The sequence below is a fragment of the Homo sapiens genome, chromosome 10, assembly GCF_000001405.40.
Source record: "Homo sapiens chromosome 10, GRCh38.p14 Primary Assembly".
NCBI classification, from domain to species: Eukaryota; Metazoa; Chordata; class Mammalia; order Primates; family Hominidae; genus Homo; species Homo sapiens.
The window spans coordinates 60,859,606-60,881,770 of NC_000010.11; the positions used below are offsets into that span (position 1 = coordinate 60,859,606).

The window sequence follows — 22,165 nt, forward strand, 5'->3', positions numbered from 1 at the left end:
CAGGCATGGTGGCTCATGCCAGTAATCCCAGCACTTTGGGAGGCTGAGGTGGGCTGATTACCTGAGGTCAGGAGTTCGAGACAAGCCTGGCCAACATGGTGAAACCCTGTCTCCACTAAAAATACAAAAATTAGCCAGGCGTGGTGGCACATGCCTGTAATCCCAGCTACTCAGGAGGCTGAGGCAGGAGAATTGCTTGAGCCCGGGAGACGGAGGTTGCAGTAAGCCTAGATCGTGCCACTGCACTCCGGCTTGGCCAACAGAGTGGGTCTCTGTCTCAAAAAAAAAAAAAATTTCCTTATAATCAACAACAGCAGCAGCAGCAACAATATTATATTCAGTAAAGGAAACGGGGACCCTAAAGCCAATAAAAAATTCAGATGGGATGGTGCCAGGATGTCCATACATTTAAAACATACTGTGCAATTCTATTGCACATTGATTGAGAACAACTGTCTGATGTGATTTGTCCTGACTAACCCCTTAAATATGTCTACCATTCTTCCTCTTGCTCATATTTATCTCCAGGCCACAGGTCTACTTGACCAGCCTCTAATATACTAAGTCGGGTCTTGTCCTCTGGTCTTTGCACATACTTAGCCTCCAGATGCCATTTTCCTAGTTGTTTGCTGGACTCACTTCTTCACTTAATTCATGTGGCGAGACTTATGCAGGTGTTCTAGTCAACAGCCCTGCTGAAGTCTCAGCCAAGAGCCTTCAAGTCTTAGCTGAGGCTACAAACATTGTGGAGCACAGACCAACTATCCCCAGTGTCTTCTCCAAATTCTCTTAATTCAGGTCTCTATTCAAATAATACCTCCTTGGAGAGAATATCTCTGACTACCTTTGTTTAAAATGATATTCTTAATCATCTTCTATCCTCTTCTTTTTTTCCCTTTCTAGCACTTACCTGATAAAAGTACATATTAGTTTGTTAGTTTTCATTGCACACCTCCCACAAAGGAATGTAAACTCCATAATGATAGGGACATTGGTGCCTAGAAAAGTGCCCAACACATATTAGGCAGGTATCAGTACAATAAATATTTGTGAATGAATAAACACCTGACAATTATGCCACTAGTTCATTTTCCCAGAGCCACATCAGATGCTATTGTACAATCTCAGCCCTCTTTGCCCTTAAACTTTGCCTTGGATTGTGCCTCAGAATCCCTCATAACACAATCATGCATTACTGATCTGGGTCAGTAGATGAGATGAAACCAATTTTCCATACCTGGTCTATAGCATTAATTTGGGTATGTTCATTTATTGTTGTATTGGTATTTGGGTGTGTACAATCAGATACTAGTTGCTCTGTGAGGCCAAAGACTGAGTCTCATACTATTTTTGGCATATAGAAGTTCAAAAAGTCCTAGATGAATTGAAATTATTTGTGATAATTTTCAGATCAAGCCTTTGGCAAGGCAGGAGGAAGGCTGAATCAAGATATGATCACCAGGCTTCCCAAGATAAGAGGTAGATAATTGGCAGCACACTGGTGGAAGAAATTTCCAGAACTGACGGAACCGGTTACCTCCCTGCAAAATAGGGTGAAGATGAGAAAGTCAGTTGGGAAGGCAGAGATTTTAGGTTATAGGACGTTCTGTTTGAACCTCAGTAAGATTTGGGAATTGTTTTCCGTTTATCCTACCACAAAACATCTAGAACTTCATTTGCATCATCTGTTTGCATATGTTCCGATATTGGTCAAATGGAATTTCTCTAGGGCCAGGCCTAGATGCTTGGGGTGAGGGAGAAGGTGGGAAGGGGAAACTGACAGCTGTAATGTATTCTCCAGACTTGAAGATCAATGAGCCTGTTATTAGGTGGTTTGTTTTAGGAGAAATGAGATGTGAAATTATCTTTAACCTGGCAGGCTTTCACTTCCTGGGTAGATTTCAATGGAATCTACCTCTTAATCTTTTCATGGCTTTCATCTGAAGGCCTTGCTCATGCTGAGTGTTTTTAAGACAGGACAGAGATCCTAACTGGTTGTGATTGCAATCATTTCTCCTTTGGAACATGCCTAGTCAAGAAGAACATCCCGTTGAAACTGAGAGATAAATGCCATTTTTGGAAAGAGCTAGTTTCAACAAAGATTACTATTACATATAGAAACATCATTCACCCATATTACCAATGTATCCATCACTCACCCAAACTGTGAAAGAACGTAAAAAGATACCCACTAAAATAAGTTCAAATGTTTACTCTCCCTCCACTCCCCCAGCAAATTGCAAGATCTAATGGTCAATAAAACCATTTTATTCCCAACTTAAATGCATGAATAAGACCAGAAAGATGATCCAAGGAAAGATGTTGCCTTTCCTTGCTGCAGCTGGCAGGGTTGCTTAGAATTTGGGCAGTTGGAGCTGGAGAAGATCTTTGTTAGTTTATTAAAACTAGGAGTCAGGTCGGGTTCTACATGGGCTCTAAGCAATGACTTCCTTCCTTCCTTCCTCCCTTCGTTCCATCCTTCCTTCTTTCCCTTCTTCCTTCCTTCCTCTCTTTCTTCTCTCTCTCCTTCTCTCTCTCTCTTTCTTTTTCTTTCCTCTCTCTCTTTCTTTCTTTTCTTTTTTTTCTTTTCTTTCTTTCTTTCTTTTTATTGAGATGGAGTCTCACCCTTTTACCCAGGCTGGACTGCAGTGGCGTGATCTCGGCTAACTGAAACTTTTACCACCTGGATACAAGTGATTCTCCCACCTCAGCCTCTCTAGTAGCTGAGACTACAGGTGCCTGCCACTATGCCTGGCAAATTTTTGTATTTTTAGTAGAGATAGCGTTTCACCATGTTGGCCAGGCTGGTCTCGAACTTCTGACCTCAGGTGATCCGCCTACCTCCGCCTCCCAAAGTGCTGGGATAACAGGTGTGAGCCACCATGCTCAGCCTTTTAGAAAGAATACGCTGTCTCTCTCTCCCTTTCTTTCTCTTTCTTTCTTTCTTTCCTTTCTTCTTTCTTTCTTTTCCTTTTTCTTTCTTTCCTATTTCTCTCTCTCCTTCCCTTTCCTTCCTTCCTTCCTTCTCTTTTTCCTTTCTCCCTTTCTTTTTTCTTTTTTTCTTTCCTCTTTCTCTTTACTTCCTCTTTCTTTTCTCTTTCTTTCCTTCTTTCTTTCTTTCCTATTTCTCTCTCTCCTTCCCTTTCCTTCCTTCCTTCTTTTTCCTCTTTTCCTCTTTCTTTCTTCCTTTCTTTCTTTTCCTTTCTTTTCTCTCTTTCATTCTTTTCCTCCCTCCCTCTCTCCCTCCCTCCCTCCCTCCCTTCCTTCCTTCCCTCCTTCCTTCCCTCCTCTCTCTCTCCCTCTCCTCTTTCTTTTCTTCTTTCTTCTTTTGTCATATGGTGGGTGAAATAAAAATCAGGCAGAAAAACCCATGGAAATCAGGCTGTTGGTATTTAAATACAAGTTTTAAAAGTTTACCTCCCATTTTTAGTTTTTGATTCATTTCTCCTGGACTGATTCTGTGCATGTGTAGGGTGATGATGGGGGTGGTGGAGAACTAGAATTGCCATCCTGGCCTTTTTTAGAAAGAAATTGCTGTAGATCTGTAAAATGCTGTGTGGCAGAAATTCATTTAGGTTCAAGTAAATCATGAAATTTGTTTTGCACAATTTAGAGGAAATTTAATGAAGCCCTTTCAAATAAGCCTTATGTACATTATTTGGGGGGAGTACAAATAATTATGTTTTAGGTTCTATAACTTTGAGACGTTAATTACAATGAATTTATTTTTTGATCTTTAAATTGTTTTTTTTTGTTTTTACACAGTGGCAACAGAGGATGCAATTTTTTTCATCCGTATTTATTTTTTGTCTGCTGATAGCGCACAAAACTTCCATTAGTGTGTCCATCAAATAGTCTAGGTTGTTCTCAGATTTTCAAAATAGTGGTTAATGCACAGATCAATCTGAGCTCCTCCGTGGGGTCTTCACATCCCCTTTTTTTTTTGAGATGAAGTCTCTCCCTGTTGCCCAGGCTAGAGTGCAGTGACATAATCTCAGCTCACTGGGACCTCTGCCTCCCAGGTTCAAGTGATTCTCGTGCCTCAGCCTCCCGAGTAGCTGGGACTACAGGTGCCTGCCACCATGCCTGGCTAATTTTTGTATTTTTGGTAGAGATGGAGTTTCACCGTGTTGGCCAGGCTGGTCTTGAACTCCTGACCTCAAGTGATCCGCCCACCTCGGCCTCCCAAAGTGCTGGAATCACAGGCATGATCCACTGGCTGGTCCCTTGCATCCTTTTAAACTTGTCTGGGTGCCCCTTCCCAGCTTCTGTGTTCTTTGGTTTGCCTTTAAGAGTCCACATTGGAGACTCCCATTGCAGGACTCCTCGTATGCTGCTGCAGCTGCTTTCCCTGCCTCCGGCCTGAAATGCCTGGAGTTTCCATTATCCCCTCCCCCTCCACTGCCTGAGCACTTAGCCTTCGACCACTCGTGCAGGAATATAAAAGCCTCCTCTATGGCATAGTCTTTACTCCAGATCACCCCTTGAGACCAGACTGAGTGGGGCTTCCTGGCTTGGCTTCTCACCCTTTCCAGTCGCCCCCTTCCTTACTGGTCTCATGGAAGGGCATTTCTTAAGTGAACCACTTGCTTGGGAATCTTCACCTCAGGCTCTGTTTCTGGGGAACTCACTATCCTCCCCATAAGGCGCGGTTGTGGGAACTAAATGAGACAAATGCAAACAAGGCACTTATCACAACGCATGGCCATAACATAGACTCAAAAATGTTATTATTATTATGATGAGTCTCACATCAGTTTTTTGGACTCTGGTAGAGTGGTGCCAAGACTTACAGCATTGATCCATCCAGTTGGCCATGGAAATATTTGAATAAAACGGAAACATTTGAATAAAACTGAAAGAGCATATAAAAGTGCATCTTAACATGCCTGAGACCTTGCCACTGGGGTAACTATGTAACTATGCAAATATAAGCAAAAAAAGAGCAAAAGCAACCAGCGGAATAGCATTTGCTGAGGAGAAAGTTCACATTAATTTTTCTTTCTTTTTTTTTCTTTTTTGGATTGTTAAGCCCATTTCTCTAAGAGTTAAAAATTTCAGATGACTACTTATTTTATTTTATCTATTTTTATTTATTTATTTTTGAGACAGAGTCTCACTCTGTTGCCCAGGCTGGAGTGCTGTAGTGGGATCTCGGCTCACTGCAACCTCCGCCTCCCCAGTTCAAGTGATTCTCCTGCCTTAGCCTCGCATAGCTAGGATTACATGTGCCTGCCACCATGCCCAGCTAATTTTTGTACTTTTGCTAGAGATGGGGTTTTACCATGTTGGCCAAGCTGGTCTTGACCTCCTGGCCTCAAGTGATCTGCCTGCCTTGGCTTCCCAAAGTGCTGGGATTACAGGCTTTAGCCACTGTGCCCGGCTTGACTACTTATTTTAAAAGAAATCTCAGGTGTATAAAGAGAAGTGATATCTTGGTGACAGTTGCAAAGGGGTCCAAACCTGGTAATGGGAGAGGGGCTGAGAGAGAAAACATAGTGATTTCAGCACTCTCCATCTAATTAGGTGGCATGCTCTGTGGGGGGACAGGAAACTAGGAGATAGGGATGTTTTATGTCCAATAAATAATTTATCCAGGACTTCTGAGACAGTTTTAACAATCTCCAAAATTTGTACTGGAAGCTTACTTTTTCTTTAGATTTCATATGTAAAATAAAATTAGAAGATATCCTTCAACACATGTGCACAATCTCACTAGGGAATTTTTCCTCCTGCTTTATTAAGGTATAATTGACAAATTAAATTGTACATATTTATAGTGTGTAATGTGATGCTTTGCTATCTGAATACATTGTGACATGATTAAATCAAGCTAGGGAAGTTTTTTAAACGCAGAAAAACAGGCATCTTAGTATTCAAGGAACTCTTTAGAAGTCATCTTGGCCTCTTGCCTTTCACGAGGGTCAGATGATACAAAAGGCCAAGGCCAGATGGGATGGAATAACTCATTGTAATAGGTAACAACTTTCACAATCAGGGAAGCCTCTTGAAGCCTCTCAGATGGCAGGAAGCTAAACCTAGTTTCTCTTCTTGCTGGTCAGAGGAACCAGTCTCCAGGCTGGCCCATAGCCTTTCAGATTCTTTGCATATTGTCTTAGTGCTAAGGTAGGGAAAGATTTTTGTCATTGAGTTCAGTGTTCCCTTCCCACACATGCCTATCACCTTGGGAGGCTTTGATTCAGTACATCTGGAGTGGGACCTGGAATTCATTTTTATTTTTTCTGAGACATAGTCTCGCTCTGTCACCCAGGCTGGAGTGCAGTGGTGTTATCTCGGCTTACTGCAACCTCTGCCTCCCGGGCCCAAGCAATTTTCCTGCCTCAGCCTCCTGAGTAGCTGGGATTACAGGTATGCATCACCACACCCGGCTAATTTTTGTATTTTTAATAGAGACAGGGTTTCACCATGTTGGCCAGGCTGGTCTCAAACTCCTGACCTCAAGTGATATGACTGCCTTGGTCTCCCAAAGTGCTGGGATTGCAGGAGTGAGCCACTGTGCCCAGCCTGGAATTCATTTTTAGATCTGGACCCAGGGCATGTACAAGAAGGCTCACTGTAGCGCCAAGGAATGGGAATTGGCTAGTGGTTCTATCACCGGTGGAATGGAGGAACCACAAGGGATGGATGCAGCCTATGGGAGGCTAGGCAGCCCTGGAGAGCCATGGACTAGATGCACACATTGTAAAATGGCTGGATTTCCAGAACAGTGTGGAGTCAGAAAAGTAGATAGAAGGAAATTTGCTATGTAACACCATTTGTGTAACAATTATGCACATGAAACAACACTGTATATAAAGAAACCCATGTTTAAAGACATACATTGAACAGAAGATGGGAGTGGGTATTTTGGAAGAAAGAGAAAATATAAAAAGAGAGGGCCTTGCGTTGACTGAGGATGACAATGTGACAAGCACTGAGAAGCATGGCTAACTAGACTTTTTGCATCCAATCTTCAAGAAAAGTAAGAAAAAAATGATTGGGAGCAATGAAAACGAATTGCTCCCGAGTGAATCAGTGGTTCAGCCAAGCTCAGCCCAGAAGTGGGCTGACTTTACTTAATAGAAAACATGGAGGCCCTAGTGAGGGGAAATGTTCTCTTAGAAAGGGTCACCCTTTCTTCTTTTCTCCCACCACCCACCTTTCCCTCCAGCCCATTATTATTAATAATAATTATTATTTACTTTACCATAGCTCCTATTTTCTAATTGTTAAACCACTGTCATGAAGCACTAAGCAGCAAGGTCAGCATTTGGTTGAAGAGATTGGCAGGAAAAGACCACACTGCTCTCTTCTGCAACATGCATGATTGTCTTCTCTCTTGGATTTTTGGCCTTGGTTTTGGCCTTGAAAACCAAGGTCAAAAATGCTGAGCACACAGGTTCCATTTCATTTGTGTTTCGCTTCCATTCACTAAGCACTTATTATGTCCAAGGTACTTGGCATATGGGTGCCTTACCTAAGTCATCTCATTTAACTTGTACTGAAAACTCAGTGATATCTGTTCCCATTTTCTAGATGACTAAAGCTTAGAGAAGTTGTGTATCTTTTCACATGACAGTTGAACTTAACCTTCCAGGGGAGTATCACCCTAACTGGGACTACCATGAATCATCAAATCAAAGGATATATTTATTTTTTATCATATTGGGAGGGAATTTTAAGAATAGTCAAACTTTGGTTGGCTTCCAAGTGGAAAGAAATGAATCAAGTTCTGTCCTCATCGATTGCCTGTAATATCTAACCATTCTTGTATTTGGGATTGAGAACATATTCAAAGAACTTAAATACTCCTTCGAAGCATGGGGCCACATTTAGGTAGCACCCATTTCATCTATGTTCTGTTGTAAATCCATGTCGCTGTGGAAACTGAACGACAGGAGAGGCAAGTCGCTTCACGTCTGCTACTGTTGTTGATAATTCTTTCACGTCTGTGGATATGCAACTGCATGATCGCTTGGTTTCCACCCAAGAGTTATCTGTTCATAAATTACTTTCATATTTCATAGACTACAGTCTATAAATATCTAACTGATGAGCACCTGTATGTTAGCCCAGTAAAAAACTATGCATCTAAATGGCTCAAGTAAAAATATCCAATTTAGAAGCACTGTCAGCACAAGGGAGAATTTTCTAATGCAGCCAAGGGATATAGCATTACTTCTACAGAAGTGTAGCTTTTAAAGGAGGTCACTAGTATTGCCACACCAGTGTCTTCACTTCTAAGTCTAAACCTTTCATGATGCATATATCACCTGCTTCCTAATTGGAAATTCAAGAAAGCTGTCTTCATCATACAATAAATTAAGTCGAGGGATATGCAGTAATCTCTCGACTTAAGTTAGCACTTTGAAATAAATAATATATCTGTGGCTCACAGTGTTTAATTCAATTCTGTGTCTTTCTTCAGTGGCCCTTTCCCTCCCTCCCTTCCTTCTTTTTTTCTTTCTTTCTTTTTAAATTGCCCTTTTCTTCATTATGCTGTTTCTGGTTACACACACATAGACATACAACACAAATGCATTCTCTCTGGCTAACTTTTACCTCTATGACTTTTATGCAATAGTCACATTCTTCTAGAAAAGAGAAATTATTGCTATTTGCCCTCTAACATCCAACTAGGAGATCTGTATCTATCATCTATCTATCTGTCTATCTTCTATCTCTCTATCTATCTATCATCTATCTATCTATCATCTATCTATCTCTGTGCCAATTAAAAAAAATCCAATTCATGGAAAGGGCGGACAAATCTTCAGCTTGCAGGCAAGCATTCATTCAGAAGTGCTGAACTCATAAAACTGTTTCCAAACTCAAGATTCACTTTGTTTTTTCCCTCTGACTAGTAGTATTTCTTCTGCCTAGCCAATGTCATAGTGACGAAAAACTGAATTTTGACAACTAATATACCATATATTGGAAGCAAGCATGAAAAAATCTCTTAGAAACATTGGACTTTTGCTTCTGAGTGTCCATAATGAAAATATTTGAGTTCCAGCTAGACCAGTAGGGTCTGTGGTTCTCAAAATGCCAGTATAGGAAACTTTGCTGAAGTTGTATAAAAGAAAAAGAATGCCAACATAAGGGTGCTGACATCCCTGATGATTTGCCAGACATTACTCCCAGAAACTTAGACCAAGACTTTCTAAAGGTAAGAAGAAACCGGTATACTTTATGTAAAAGGTGCCATGATTGGGACCATCCACCTCTAAAAGGTGGAAATGTGTTGGACATCTCATTGTTTTCTTTTCACAGCTATTTCTTACAGTGGTCAGCACCTTCCCATACAGTTATGGGTAGCCTGTCACTCAGAAAAGTCCCTCAATGACATCTCACTGAGACTTTCTTCCCTCTGAGCTTGGGTAAACATTGTATTACCTAGAAGTCCAGAAATTGTCCAGATATTTTCACAAAGGCTTTCTCAGACCTGCTTTGCAGGAAACTTTTCATGAACTCAGCAACTCAGACCTATCACTCAACTGCTGGCAGAAATTATCCAAACCCAGATTATACTAAGTCCTGTAGGATAGTTCTAGTTTCTCCCCCAACCCGCTCTCTGGCCCCAGGCAGTACTATGTCTAGTGACATACTGTATTAGCCAAGAGCAAAGCACCAGGCACTTCATTTACATTATGACACTGGAATCTCTGCTGACAATACCCAATACAAAAATGACAAGTCATTCAAGCTGCTTTGTTACTGGAGCATGCACAAGCCCCCATGACCCAGCACCCTTAATGTTTTGATAATTTAAAAAAAGCTGTTAAATCACACACACAATATGATGTCTGTCCTTAAAACAAAACTGGAGGCATTTTATAGCTAAACAATTTTATTGGCTTTTTGTGAAATAAAAAACACACAACAAACCACCATGGTTAAAGGCCATAATCAGCATCAACCAAATGAACCAGCCACTTGGTTACAGTAGCTGATAACAACACTAGTGGATATTATTGCTTATACCCCAAGTTCATTTATACATCCATTATATTTTGGCAAGATTACAATCAAATGGGAGCTTTGGTTGTAAAATTTCAACTATGACTACTCATTGAAAACTCATCTTCTACCATTTTATGGTGGGATACATGTCAATTCTTCCACATCTTGTCTCCTTTCTCCTTCCATCGATAAGATTTACAAGCCTATTGAAAATAATTAAGATGGATGCATTTGTAACTATCCCTACTCTACTGCCTTCTCTTTTGTCATGACAAGGTGATGCATTTCTGGGCCTCTCCTAAGATCTTCTATCTGGTGTTTCCACTGCCAGTAATAAATGCCCATCTGTAATCTAGATAGATTTTCAAATGCATATGGCTGTCAGCATTGGGGTTTGGACTCAACTGTCTCATTTCCATCTTCTGAAAAGCTAGAAGAAAAAATAAAAATAAAAACAAAATCAACAGTCCTTGGCATTGGTAATTTGACCTCCCAACAGAATGAGCCCCACCCCCTGCCACATTAACATCCCATGGCAGGTGTGGAGCTGTGGCCTTGAAATGCTCTCTGTGTGTGTATGTGTGTGCTGTAACATTTTAATTTACAGAGAAGCAATGACTGACTGCCTCACGAAAGCTCCCCTGCTGTCACACTTCCTAGTTTAACACTGAAAACTCAGAATGAGAAAGAGTCAGAACGAACTCACAATAGCACCATTTCCTAGACTCTTGGAATTAGATTCCTTTCCGTGTAGGAGAACGCAGGCGCCCAGCCTCCAGCTTTGTGCTTTCACAGGCTCCCAATGCATTTCAGCAGAAGTGGGTGGTCTGCCTTAGCCTACTTCTGCAGCAACATGAATTTTCCCTGGGAAGAGTTAAAAATATGGGTCTTACAAAGTGAAGTTGGCCACAGGTGAGAAGCCTGAGGAAGCCTGTTTCTGGTGGTGAGATGTGACAAGCCTGTAGATGGCAGGAGGGAGTCCAGGGACCTTTTCCCTTGCCCATCTCAATTCAAGTCAGTGAAGAATCTGCATGCAGAAGCATGGCAAGTTCAAGGAATACTGAGAGATGTAAACCCTAATACAGCAATCCGAACACCAGCGCACTAATGGTATCTTATGTATTCAGGTCCACCAGTGAGTTTGCCCTGGATAATGCTGGGATTTAATAAGCCCTTCTAATGATTATAAAGATTGTCCTCTTGAAACTAGACATTGGAAACAACAGAATATTTGATATCACTATATTTTACATGGCACATATAACCATATAATTACCAGCACTTAACATGGCAAATATTGTAAATACACATTCTTGGAGTTGACTTTGTAATTACACCGATGTTATTCAACAGAACAAAGATTAAACACTCTCCAATTTGCACTTTGGGAGATTTCAGTCCCCTCCTTCCTTTCACAACAAAAGGATAACCCTCTAATTACGTAATAATGCTCGGTGGTCATGTGGGCAAAGAGAATCACAGGGTGACTTCATAATCAATTGTGGCCTGTAAAATAAAGTAATACACAGTATTTTCATTTCAACAAAATACAACAGACCATATAAAAATATTTTCCAATCTGGAATCAGAAACATGAAAGCTGAATTTTTTTTCTTTGTATAAAAAGAAACAAAATAACAGACTAAAGTTTATTAAGCCTCCTAACAAAAAAAATATACATATCAGTTTAAGGAATGCAGTGAGAGTCAGCTTCCCTTTTTGTCCAGGCTCATTGATGGTGAGCTTGTGCTTTGATCCTAACAAAGATAAATGCACAAAAGTGGAGGAAGATCAGTGCCCGAAACCTGAACTATGTCGTATCTCTAACAAGACGAATTTTATAGTAGTGCTTTGAAAAGTGGTGGATCAGATTACCGATTGGTTTCTGTTTTTTGTTTTTTTTCTCTTCCTCTTCAGGCCACTGCTGGAGATGAATTCCAGAAGCACCACTTTCGTCTTGAGCGATGCTTATTTAGTGCAATATCTTCCTTCTCTCGTTCCCTTTTCACACGCTGGTAGTGATCTTCTTCCTTCAGGTACCACACAGGGGGCCAGCGGTGCCGCTCGAAGTATTCCTGGTTGTCTGGTGAAGGAAAGATGCAGACCATAAGACCTGCGGTTCATTGATGCCTTTTATGTGCTAGGCCTTGAGCTTAAAGCTTCTCAAATATCCTCTCAAAAACGTGATGCGGCAGAGACTGTGATTAGGGCCATTTGCAAAAGGTGACACTAACGTTCTGAGAGGAAGAATCTCTTACCTGTAGTCATGCAGCTGGGCACAGAGAACCTGAACCCAGGACCACCTGATTTCAGAGTCTAAGCCTGCTCCTAAGCTTGTCTCCCTAAACAAGGGGAAGGCCACCACCTCTGCACTCTCTGCAACAGGGCACCCTGGACTCTAGCCCACCCAACTCCCCTCATCATCAAGTTCTCCAAAGACAATTCCCAGCCTTCAATTCCTTATGTCATCTCACATTAATATGTGACCACCAGCCAGTCTCGAGGAATCATCCATGAGCTGCCTGCTGACCATGTTCCTTTCCAGGGACATAGAAGATAAAAGCTTCCATGAGAGGTGAGGAGAGCTGGATGAATGGGGGCCTCACACAGTCTCACCTGCAGATTTTGATTTGATTTCCTTACGGAACTTGGAGCATACACTGTTGTAGTTGGTGCAGATGTGGTGCAAACACCAGGCGGCCAACTGGTGGGCATTGTGAAACTGCAGAAAAGTGAGCAAAAGGAGGGTAAGACTATTTTCTAAAGAGGGGCTACAAAGAAATTGGGGAAGCCATTTTAAGGGTGAAAAGAAATGAAGGGCTTATATAACTAATTCGGTAAACCTCTTGTTTTGACCTCAATGTTTTGACTTTGGCCATGGCTCCAATGCCAGCCAATGTAGTGCTGGGCACACCCCTCCTTTCCCTGCTGTCATAGGTGCACAAAAATAATTAATATCGAATCACGAGCTTAAAGTATGCCTCGCCCTCCCGCCCTCCCCTGCCACCTGGCCCTCTAGTGCTAAACAACCGTGGCCTCTGGAAGGCACCAGCCCACAGCAGAAAGCAGCGATGTCATCTCTGTTTAAGGAAGCCTCCGCAATGGAATACTTCGTGTCGCATGTCAGAGCTCAGCTTGCTGGGGCCAAGATCCGAAAGAGGAGACTGCAGAATGTGTGACTGTCCTATACCTCTCCTTTGGTTACATAAGAAGAGCAGGCGGTATGGGCAGGGTGGAGAGATCCAGATACTCCACCCTTCCATTCTAAGCAATGCTCAGGAAGGTGGCAGCTGAGGTGGCTATGATTAAAAAAGACTAGATCCTCAAAAATCAACTATCTACTCCCCCATTCCCTCCCCAGACCTGGTGGGCCTGCTGCGATCCCTCACTTTCTGTCTGTGCCCTTCTCTGACTTCCCTTCTGTTGTCTGTCGCTCTTGATGTTTCTTTGGTCAGGTGGATCCCTAGAACCTACAGCATGCTTCCTCTGTGGCCCCATATCTCCACTGTGAGGCCAATAGAAAAGCCAGAGACCTCAGAAACCCACTCAAGAGACTCACTGAAAATCACAACCCAAACATCAGAGACAGTTTTAGCTGGTGCTTCCAACTTCTCTTGCTGTTAGATTTCTCTCTGAAAACAAGGCTGGGGCAGTGTTCTGCCAGGTGGGTTTGTTCCAGCTTGAGAGAACCAATTGTGTGCATTTCTTCCCTACTTTGAGTTTAGTGACTTCATATGTTATCATCAGCCATGATGGGAGTATTTATATCATAGAAATTGGCAAACGCAACAGATTGGGGTCCCACTTGCCCTCAAGCTGACTGTTAAACACTTACCAGCACATCACTAGGTTAGGGTCTAATGAATGAGCATGGGAGAATCCATCCTAAGCTCTTCCTGCCAAGGCTTGTCAGGGCTTAGCAATAATCATATTATTTCCTTGTAGTGGGTGTGTATGGGGGTAAGGTGGGAACACAGTGCAACAAACAGACACAACTGCAAATCATTCCCTCAAGTGAATGGTCCCAATATGAAATTCTGGATCATTACATTTTTCTCTAGGAGGAATACTTGCTGGAGAGAGTACAGGTTATAAACCATCCCCTGGAACTGTTTCAAAAGACCCCAAATTCCAAGTGTGAACAACCAGTTTTGATGGGGGCTTGCTGATTCGACTGCATTAGATGTCTATTCTCAGTTTCACTGTAATCCCTAATTGGATTTTAATAATTTGTGTTTGTGTCTGTTTCCCTTACTTGCCTATGATTGCCCTGGGGCAGAGGATCTACCATTTATATGTACACGGCCTTTGCCTAGGGCGGTGCCTGGTATTTGGGGAGAAAAATAACAAATACTTGTTGAATGCTAAGTCATAATGAATAGGTCGCTGTAAAGTTCAATTCCGCCTTTTCCCCCTTTTGCACCAGAGCAATCTCCTCTGGCCACAGTAGGAAGGGCCTGAGCAGCACCTGCTGGATGCCACCTCCTCTCCCTGAAACCACCTCCTTTCCTTTGATTGAGAAATATTGATTTAAATGGACTGACCTAAGACTTAGTAAGTCATTGTCTTAACAGAAAGAGGGAGCACAGGAAGCCAAACCCAACAGGCCGAAGAAAAGACTGAGGAATTTATTCTTAGTTTCCTCAGAGTGTAAATTCATTGTTAATCAGCCTGTGCCAGGGACTAGATAATTCTGCAGATGTGCCTGGCATTGTAAGAGGGCTTACACTCTTCAGTGCTCGCTCTTGAACATTCTCTCCCACTTCATTCTCAGAATAATCTGTAAGGTTGGTAGGATGCAAACTGTCATCCCATTTCCTGTGGATGAGGAAAGTGAGGCAGAGTTTAGCTTGTGCTTTGGGGAAGTTACTCCATGGTGAAGCTAAAGCTGAATCTTGGACCTTCTCTGGAAGAAGAGGGCAAGTCTGTATTGGGATTATGTTATTACAATCTCAATATTAGCAACTTCTGACTTTAGAAAACTCCAGAACAGCTGCAATGAGATGTTCATTAACAGGGGAGGCACTACGGGGCTTCATGGAATTCTAGAAACTGTCTCTTCTTGGCCAAATACATGTCCAAGAATTCAAAGAAGGAGGAGAGACAAAACCTCCCCCAAGTGATTTTCCTACATATGAAGCTGGTGCCTTAGGGGACAATGGGACTGGCATGGGGGTGGGGACCGTTTTGTTTATTCAAATGAAGCCCAGCAGGCTGAATGGTACATAAAAGGTAAAACTCTCAGATCTTCTTAGTGTACACAGGGGGACTCTGTGACTCAGTGGTGACATCTTCATTTAGACAGATGCAACAATGGAATGTTTTATCAGCATTAAATGAACTGATTGAACACACTTAAAAGGTAAAAAGCAAACTGTTACAAACCTGAGCCAATTCCAAGTAAGAGAGCACTTCTCCGTCAATGCCCACGCCACTCGTGGCGGCTTTGGTCAACTCCTGAACGGCATGCTGTTCTGGGGAAGAGAGAGGGGGCAGGAGAACATTAAACCACGCCCTGCGAGCCAGGTAGCTTGCCTGGAGGGTTGGTCTGGGACGACTTAAGAAGGGAGGAAATGTGGGACACAGCTCTGGGCAGGCATCTGAATTAAATCCAGAAGCTGCTCTGATGTGTGGTCTTTCACTACTTGGGGTTCTGCTGCCAGCCACTTCACCCACACCTCTGGGGACTCTAGTTCATGGCTCTGAAATAGCCAGAATCCTCCAGTCCTGCAATGTTCTGTGCAGGATGATAACTCCTGGCCACACGAGACTATTTAAACTTAAATTACTTAAAATTAAATGAAATTAAAAGTTCAGCTCCTCATTCACGCTAGCCACAGTAAGTGCTCAACAGCCACATGTGGCCGCTGTTTGGACCATCCAGATATGAAATGTTTCCATCACTGCAGAAAGTTCTACTGGATGGAGTGGCTCTAAACAGTCTAGCACCTTCCTAGAGTCCTCTAGACTTTAGACACGTTCCTGTTTGACAGTTTCCCCACTCACATCACTGCAATCCTTAATATCCCTGATGGTGAAGAGGTTGAGTGACAGAGGAATGAGTCTATTTGAGGAATTAAAAATGTGATTGCGTACGTCTGTCTCAACAGCTACAGATGGATAACATATTGTTCAGCCTCTTGGATTCTAAAGACTGGGGAGACCTGCAGTTAGAAGTAACAAAAATGCAGTAGGAAGAGCCATTTTTGCTTGGGAGCTTGAGTCCAAGGCTTCCAAGCTGAATTTACGTTCTGGTCTGAAGCTAGGCCATCTCTTGCCTTTGTAAGGGCTGTCACCTGCCTCTGAGACTGACGTGTGAGGGTACAGCCTTGGCTCAGCATTTCTAGGTCTTTGACATTGATGTCATCTGTAGCATTGCATTTGTTCTTCTAATCCAGCACATTGTCCAAATCATGCTTACTTTCTGCTCCAGCTCTGCATGCTTATTGGTCAGTATGCCTATATCTGGTCAATACAGTATCGGGAATGGAATGATTTCTTTGGCACAAACCTCCTCAACTAGATTGAACTATTTGGAACTAAATTTCCCAGAGAAGTCATCTGGGCTTTGCCGTTTTAAGTAACTGCAACATTTCCTGACATTTATTTAACACTGGCTCACAAAGCATTGTCACTGTAGAAACTGATTTTTAAACACCATGTTCTAAACACTCTACACTAGACAGTACAAAGCAAATACTATAAAGGATTAAAGGAATCATCTTGGGAAGCTGTATATTAAATAATCATAACAGTAATAATAGCATTTAATAACTAAACTAAGTGTTCATAGAAGTCTAGAGTTCACACAAAAAGCTTTACTTGGGTCAGTTAAAAAAAAACTTTCATGGAGAAATCAATCCCATGTTTTCATTGCCAGACTTAATATTTAAGCAAAACTGGTACTAGTCTGAGATTGATCACAAACCTTGTTGGGCAGATTTGGCTCCAAATTACATTTGACAGTTTCAAAAATAAATAAAAATGTATCCTCAGGAATAATTTATAAAACCTGTGGATAGTTAGATGGCTTGGAACTCATGTTTCTGAAAAAAGTAATTGCCCATGGAAGCCTCCCAGAGTGAGTATTTTAAAAAACTAGTGCACTCATTTGGATCTATTAAGTATATTGGTTAAAAACAGTTTTTAAAAATAAATCTAATATTGATGCCTCAACTCGCTCTTTCTATCTAACTGGGGAGGAAGTAGGACAAAGAGAGGACTTTGATCTCCAGGTGGTTGTGTGTAGTAGAAATCTGGAGGACAGAGAAATTAATCTTTTATTTTTTCTAAAGACATTGCCAGAAAGTCAAGTGCAGATAGGACTGGTTGGTTTGTTCATACATTCATCTTCATTCATTCAATTGTTCAACAAATATTTATCGAAAGCTAATATGCTCAGGCACTCAGAAGAAAGGCCAGTGAACAAGACAGGCACTGTTTATCTCTACTTTGGTGGTTAACAGGAATCAACTAAACATTGTGATAAACACCCAGCTTGCAACTTAACTCCTCTGGTGTAAAGTGAATGAGGCTGAAGATCTGAATTCCAGAGAAAGGCATTTAAGTTCATATATCCTATGCAGACCTGCTTCAGCTTCCCAACTGAACAAATCTAGAAATGATACATAAGATTTTGTGAAGTTAAGCCAAGTTTCCCTTTTTTCTCTTTCTCCCAAAATGAACTTGACAATGTCAGAACATTTTCTAAAATAGCTTTAAGAAAACCACTTACATAATGCTTACTATGTGCCAGACGCTGTTCTAAGGACTTTATATTTTAACTCACTTAATCTCCATAACAGCTCTATGGCTGAATAATATTAGCCCCATTTTAAAGAGCGAGAAAGCTGAGACACAGAGCTAAGGTTACAGGACAAAGTCACCTGGTCAGTAAATGGTGGAGTCAGGGTTTGATCTTAGGCAATCTGGCTCTGTCATCTGTTTTCCTAAACAGTGCATCTACTGCCTTCTTAAAGACTGTGTCTGTGCACTTATTATGGAGATAATGTTGACAAAATAGTTTTATTTCAAACTCTGGGGTGCACAAATGATTCAGCATGCATACAGCGTGTGCCTCAAGGGCAGGGGTCATGCATTACTCACCTTCATAGCTGTATCACCTAACAGGGCCCACCACAGAGTGGGTGCTTAAGAAATATATGTTGAATTGAATTGGGCTGTCTGATGCAATTTGATTAATTCATATCATTCTACACAAGACAGTCCTATTTTGGGTGATAAAAAATCAATTTTTATTCTCTGTAAGAATATTTTTATTTAAATGTGATTTTGACAAATATGACAGACACTGCATGGCCCTGAGTCATCATCCTTACCTGCAAGTGCAACCAAGTGTGGCAGGCAAAATCTGTTTGCCAAGGCAATTAATTCCAGCGGGTCCAGATCCAAGTTAGGAGACAACTGCTTGGTATAGAGATAATCCAATACTGCTTGCATTGATATCTTGTTTATGTTCGGGAGATACACCTGAAATGTTATACAAAAAGCTAAATTCTGCTGCAGAAAGCAGGGAGTGGGCACATTTTCAGGCTATGCTGCTTATAAATATCCTGTGTGACTTGATATTGGTGAGTGTTGGACACCTGCTTTGAGGCTGTGCATAGGAATCCTTCAGTATTTATGACTTTAAACATAATGGTTTGATTTGTAGTTGACAAAAGAGTGGAGCTGCCTGACACAGCCTGATGTGGAATTTTTAAATGACTATTTGGACTTCTAAATCAGACAAATGGACTGGAAATGTATGATGACATTAGGGGCCCTCATGCCAAGCACCTTATAATACTCTACTGTGGGGAAAGAAATCTCCTAGCAACATGACAGGTGTTGGGCGGAGCTGCAAACCACACTGTTGCTGACATGATGGAGCCTAGTTCTCCAAGATGTCAAAAGAGAGGATGAGCAACCACCCTAGCTGCCACAGTGACCAGCTTGATTTCGAAATTCTGTCAGTATATGCACAATATATTACAATGTACTACACAACGTATACACTTCATTATTTTTTACTACAACCACATGGATTCAGAACTACTGGAACGTTATCAGTTATCAGTAGATTCGGAGAATCCAAAGGACTCCTTGCTTGGGACTTCCAGGGGAGTATGACTGGGTACAGGTGAACTGTCCCTTGTAGGATTCCCACAGTCTCCTTCCTGAGTGCCTGTAGTTGTCCATATAAATGCATGCTGGAGTTCGCCAGAGAGCCAGGCACTGCCTGGGAGGTGGAGAGCTGTAGAGGTGGGCATGGATTAATGGAGATGTACACTGCGTAGCAGCTACTCTTTATTTTAGGTCTGTAACTCCATGAGACAGGCCCTGGAGTAGTTCAGAATGGTACCACTTGGATTTTTGGAACATTGACAATTATAAACATTAATCGTAATTGAAGGCATCCTATGCACCAGGCACTGCACTAAGATTTCCACACATATTCTTTAATTTGATGCTTATATCTGCCCTAGAGAGAAGGGACTTACTTTTGCCATTTTACAGAAAAGGAAATGGAGGTTCAAGGAGGTTAATTTAAATCTTGTGTCCAAGGTCACAGAGCTAGGAAGTAGTGACTGGGATTTAAACCCAGGGAGTATGATGCGAAAGTGTATGTTCAGAATTTCTCTGCGGTGCTGGAAATGTTTAATGCCAAGGAAACAAAGGTTTGAGTTACAGAACAATAAAGCATCATATTTTATTAATGGTTTGTAAGAATTCTACTTCAAAAGGATGAACAATTATGAGCTTCTTTTTCTTTCTTTTTTATTTTAGTTTTTTTGAGACAGGGTCTAACTCTGTTGCCCAGGCTGGACTGCAGTGGCTTGATGATAGCTTAGGCCTGGGCTCAAGCAATCCTCCCACCTCCACCTCCCTAGTAGCTGGGACTACAGGCAGTGCCACCACGCCCGGCTAATTTATTTTATTAATTTTTTTTTTTTGTAGAAATGGCGGGCTTGCTATGCTGCCTAGGCTGGTCTCAAACTCCTGGCCTCAAGTGATCCTCCTGCCTTGGCTTCCCAAAGTGCTGGGATTACAGGCATGAGCCACTGTGACTGGCCGGTTATGAACTTCTTAATTCTGGTACTTAATAAACATCTATACAACATATAAAGATATATATCTATATATTATGTATGATTACATCTTTATAACATGGTTACATCTATATATTTTGTATGATTGCACCTCTCTCTCCATACACATGCACTTGCACACAAACACACACACACACTCAGGCACACACATGCATGGAGCCAGCCATCTCTATCTGTGGGTTCCACATCTGTGGATTCAACCAACTGTAGATCAAAAATATTTGAAAAATAAAGGCATGACTGCTTCCGTTCTGAACATGTACAGACTTTTTTCTTGTCATTATTCCCTAAACAGTAAACAACTACTTACACAGCATTTGCATTGTATTAGGTACCAGAAACACTCTACAGATAAGTTAAAGTATACAGGAGGATGTGCACAGATCTATGCAAATACGATGCCATTTTATATGAGGAATTTGAGCACTCATGGATTTGGCTGTCTGAGTTGGGGGGGTGGTCCTGGAACCAGTCCCTCACAGATACTGAGGGATGACTGTGTGTGTGTGTGTGTGTGTGTGTGAGAGAGAGAGAGAGAGAGAGAGAGAGAGAGAGAGAGACAGAGTGAGAGAGAGTGAGAGACAGAGAGAGAGAGAGAGAGAGTGTATGTATGTATAATGGCCCCACATTCTACAAGGTGCTTATGGCTTATGCACTCTGGCAGTGTGGCTCCAGAGCTCTTTAAGCTATAGAAACTTTCTTTGTTATTCTCCTATGCAGCCACCAGACACCTCAGAGAGGGAATATCCTTTCAGATAGGTAGACCCATCCCTTAACGTATCATAGGGAAGGTTTAGAAAAATTCCTAGAAATAATAAGAAATTTATCCCCCACTTTCAGACATGGTTGGTGAAAACGACAATTATGATTCCATAAATAAGTTACATAAGTCATTACCATAAACGATTTGACAAGCATGATCATTTTAGGTTTCCAGCACAACCTCGACAACAAATAGAACTCAATGAGTTGAAACTATTACTGGGATTATTTTGAAATAAAGTAGCTGTTGTGCATGCTAGATCATCTGCAATACACAGATGTTGGAACATTATTCTTCCCTTCAACCAGCTGTATGTACATATGAATAATTAATTATTCAACTAAATCTAGCACCAGTTACACTGCGTGTATGCTCGCATACATATATGTTTACATACATATGCATTTATCTTACACAAATAATGGATTTATTTACAGGTATCCATACAAATTTGTTTCTGTGTGTAGGAACATGTAACATTTCATTTCTTTGATGAAATAATGTTTGGATTAGTGATATGGTTTGGCTGTGCCCCACTCAAATCCCATCTTGAATTATAGCTCCCATAATTCCCACGTGTTGTGGGAGAGACCTGATGGGAGATATTCATGGGGGTGGTTCCCCCCAGACTATTCTAGTGATAGTGAATAAGTCTCATGAGATCTGATGATTTTATAAGGGGTTTCCCCTTTTCACTTGGTTCTCTCTCTCTTGCCTGCTGCCATGTAAGATGTGCCTTTTGTCTTCCACCATGATTGTGAGGCCTCCCAAGCCATGTGGAACTGTGAGTCCATTAAACCTTTTTCTTTATAAATTACCCTATCTCTGGTATGTCTTCATTAGCAGCATGAAAATGGACTAATACAATTAGTATAGTTTTTTAAATAATTGAAGGTTAAGTTGTGAAACTTTAAAATTTGAACCATTTTAATAGTGAAAGTATCCACATTTTACAAAGCGCTAAGTGCTCTAAGATGTTAGTAATTGTTAATATACCAAGTCCCAGAGCTTCCTGTTAATACCTGCTCTCTCAGAGATGGGGATGTCTGGTGTTTCTGAAAACAATGCCTCTCGTGATAGCGCAAGAGCCTGGGGCAGGCCCAGGGATATATCACTAAAATGCTGTGTGACCTTTGATACATCTCTCACCCTCTCTCACCCTCAGTCTCTTCATCCGTTACATGGGAGGAATTTGGAATAGATGCTATTAAAAGCTTTTTCTTCTTCACGGAAACTCTGGGTTTTGAAAATCTTCAGATTACCTTAGCGTTTTTTGGCAAGAGTGTGTTCTAAGTCATTGCTTAAAGAAGAAATAGCAAAATGAACA

At 41.5% G+C, this 22,165-nt stretch overlaps 1 protein-coding gene across 50 annotated transcripts in view, besides 2 other annotated features; it reads right to left on the reverse strand.

Moving 5' to 3' along the window:
* Positions 1-1,254: 1,254 nt before the first annotated feature.
* Positions 1,255-22,165, reverse strand: part of RHOBTB1 (Rho related BTB domain containing 1) — a 141,108-nt gene continuing 120,197 nt past the window's right edge. For 26 of the 50 annotated variants that reach the window (XM_047426086.1, XM_024448271.2, NM_001350902.2 and 23 more), the window contains 4 exons: positions 18,303-18,453; positions 15,349-15,437; positions 12,580-12,685; positions 9,833-12,046 (listed from right to left, as the gene is read on the reverse strand). In XM_047426086.1, coding sequence (XP_047282042.1) covers positions 11,877-12,046; positions 12,580-12,685; positions 15,349-15,437; positions 18,303-18,453 — 516 coding nt within the window. In that variant the 3' untranslated portion in view covers positions 9,833-11,876. Of the gene's footprint in view, positions 1,542-9,832; positions 12,047-12,579; positions 12,686-15,348; positions 15,438-17,225; positions 17,579-18,302; positions 18,454-22,165 lie in introns of those variants that run through there. The other 24 variants (XM_047426092.1, XM_011540424.2, XM_047426088.1 and 21 more) reach the window with 7 other exon arrangements.
* Positions 10,256-10,757: an enhancer, noted in NCBI's record as "OCT4-NANOG-H3K4me1 hESC enhancer chr10:62629619-62630120 (GRCh37/hg19 assembly coordinates)". NCBI's record gives its function as "activates a minimal SCP1, AML or CMV promoter by ChIP-STARR-seq in primed H9 embryonic stem cells {active_cell/tissue: H9 hESC(primed)}" and the evidence as "EXISTENCE:reporter gene assay evidence [ECO:0000049][PMID:30033119]".
* Positions 10,758-11,257: an enhancer, noted in NCBI's record as "OCT4-NANOG-H3K4me1 hESC enhancer chr10:62630121-62630620 (GRCh37/hg19 assembly coordinates)". NCBI's record gives its function as "activates a minimal SCP1, AML or CMV promoter by ChIP-STARR-seq in primed H9 embryonic stem cells {active_cell/tissue: H9 hESC(primed)}" and the evidence as "EXISTENCE:reporter gene assay evidence [ECO:0000049][PMID:30033119]".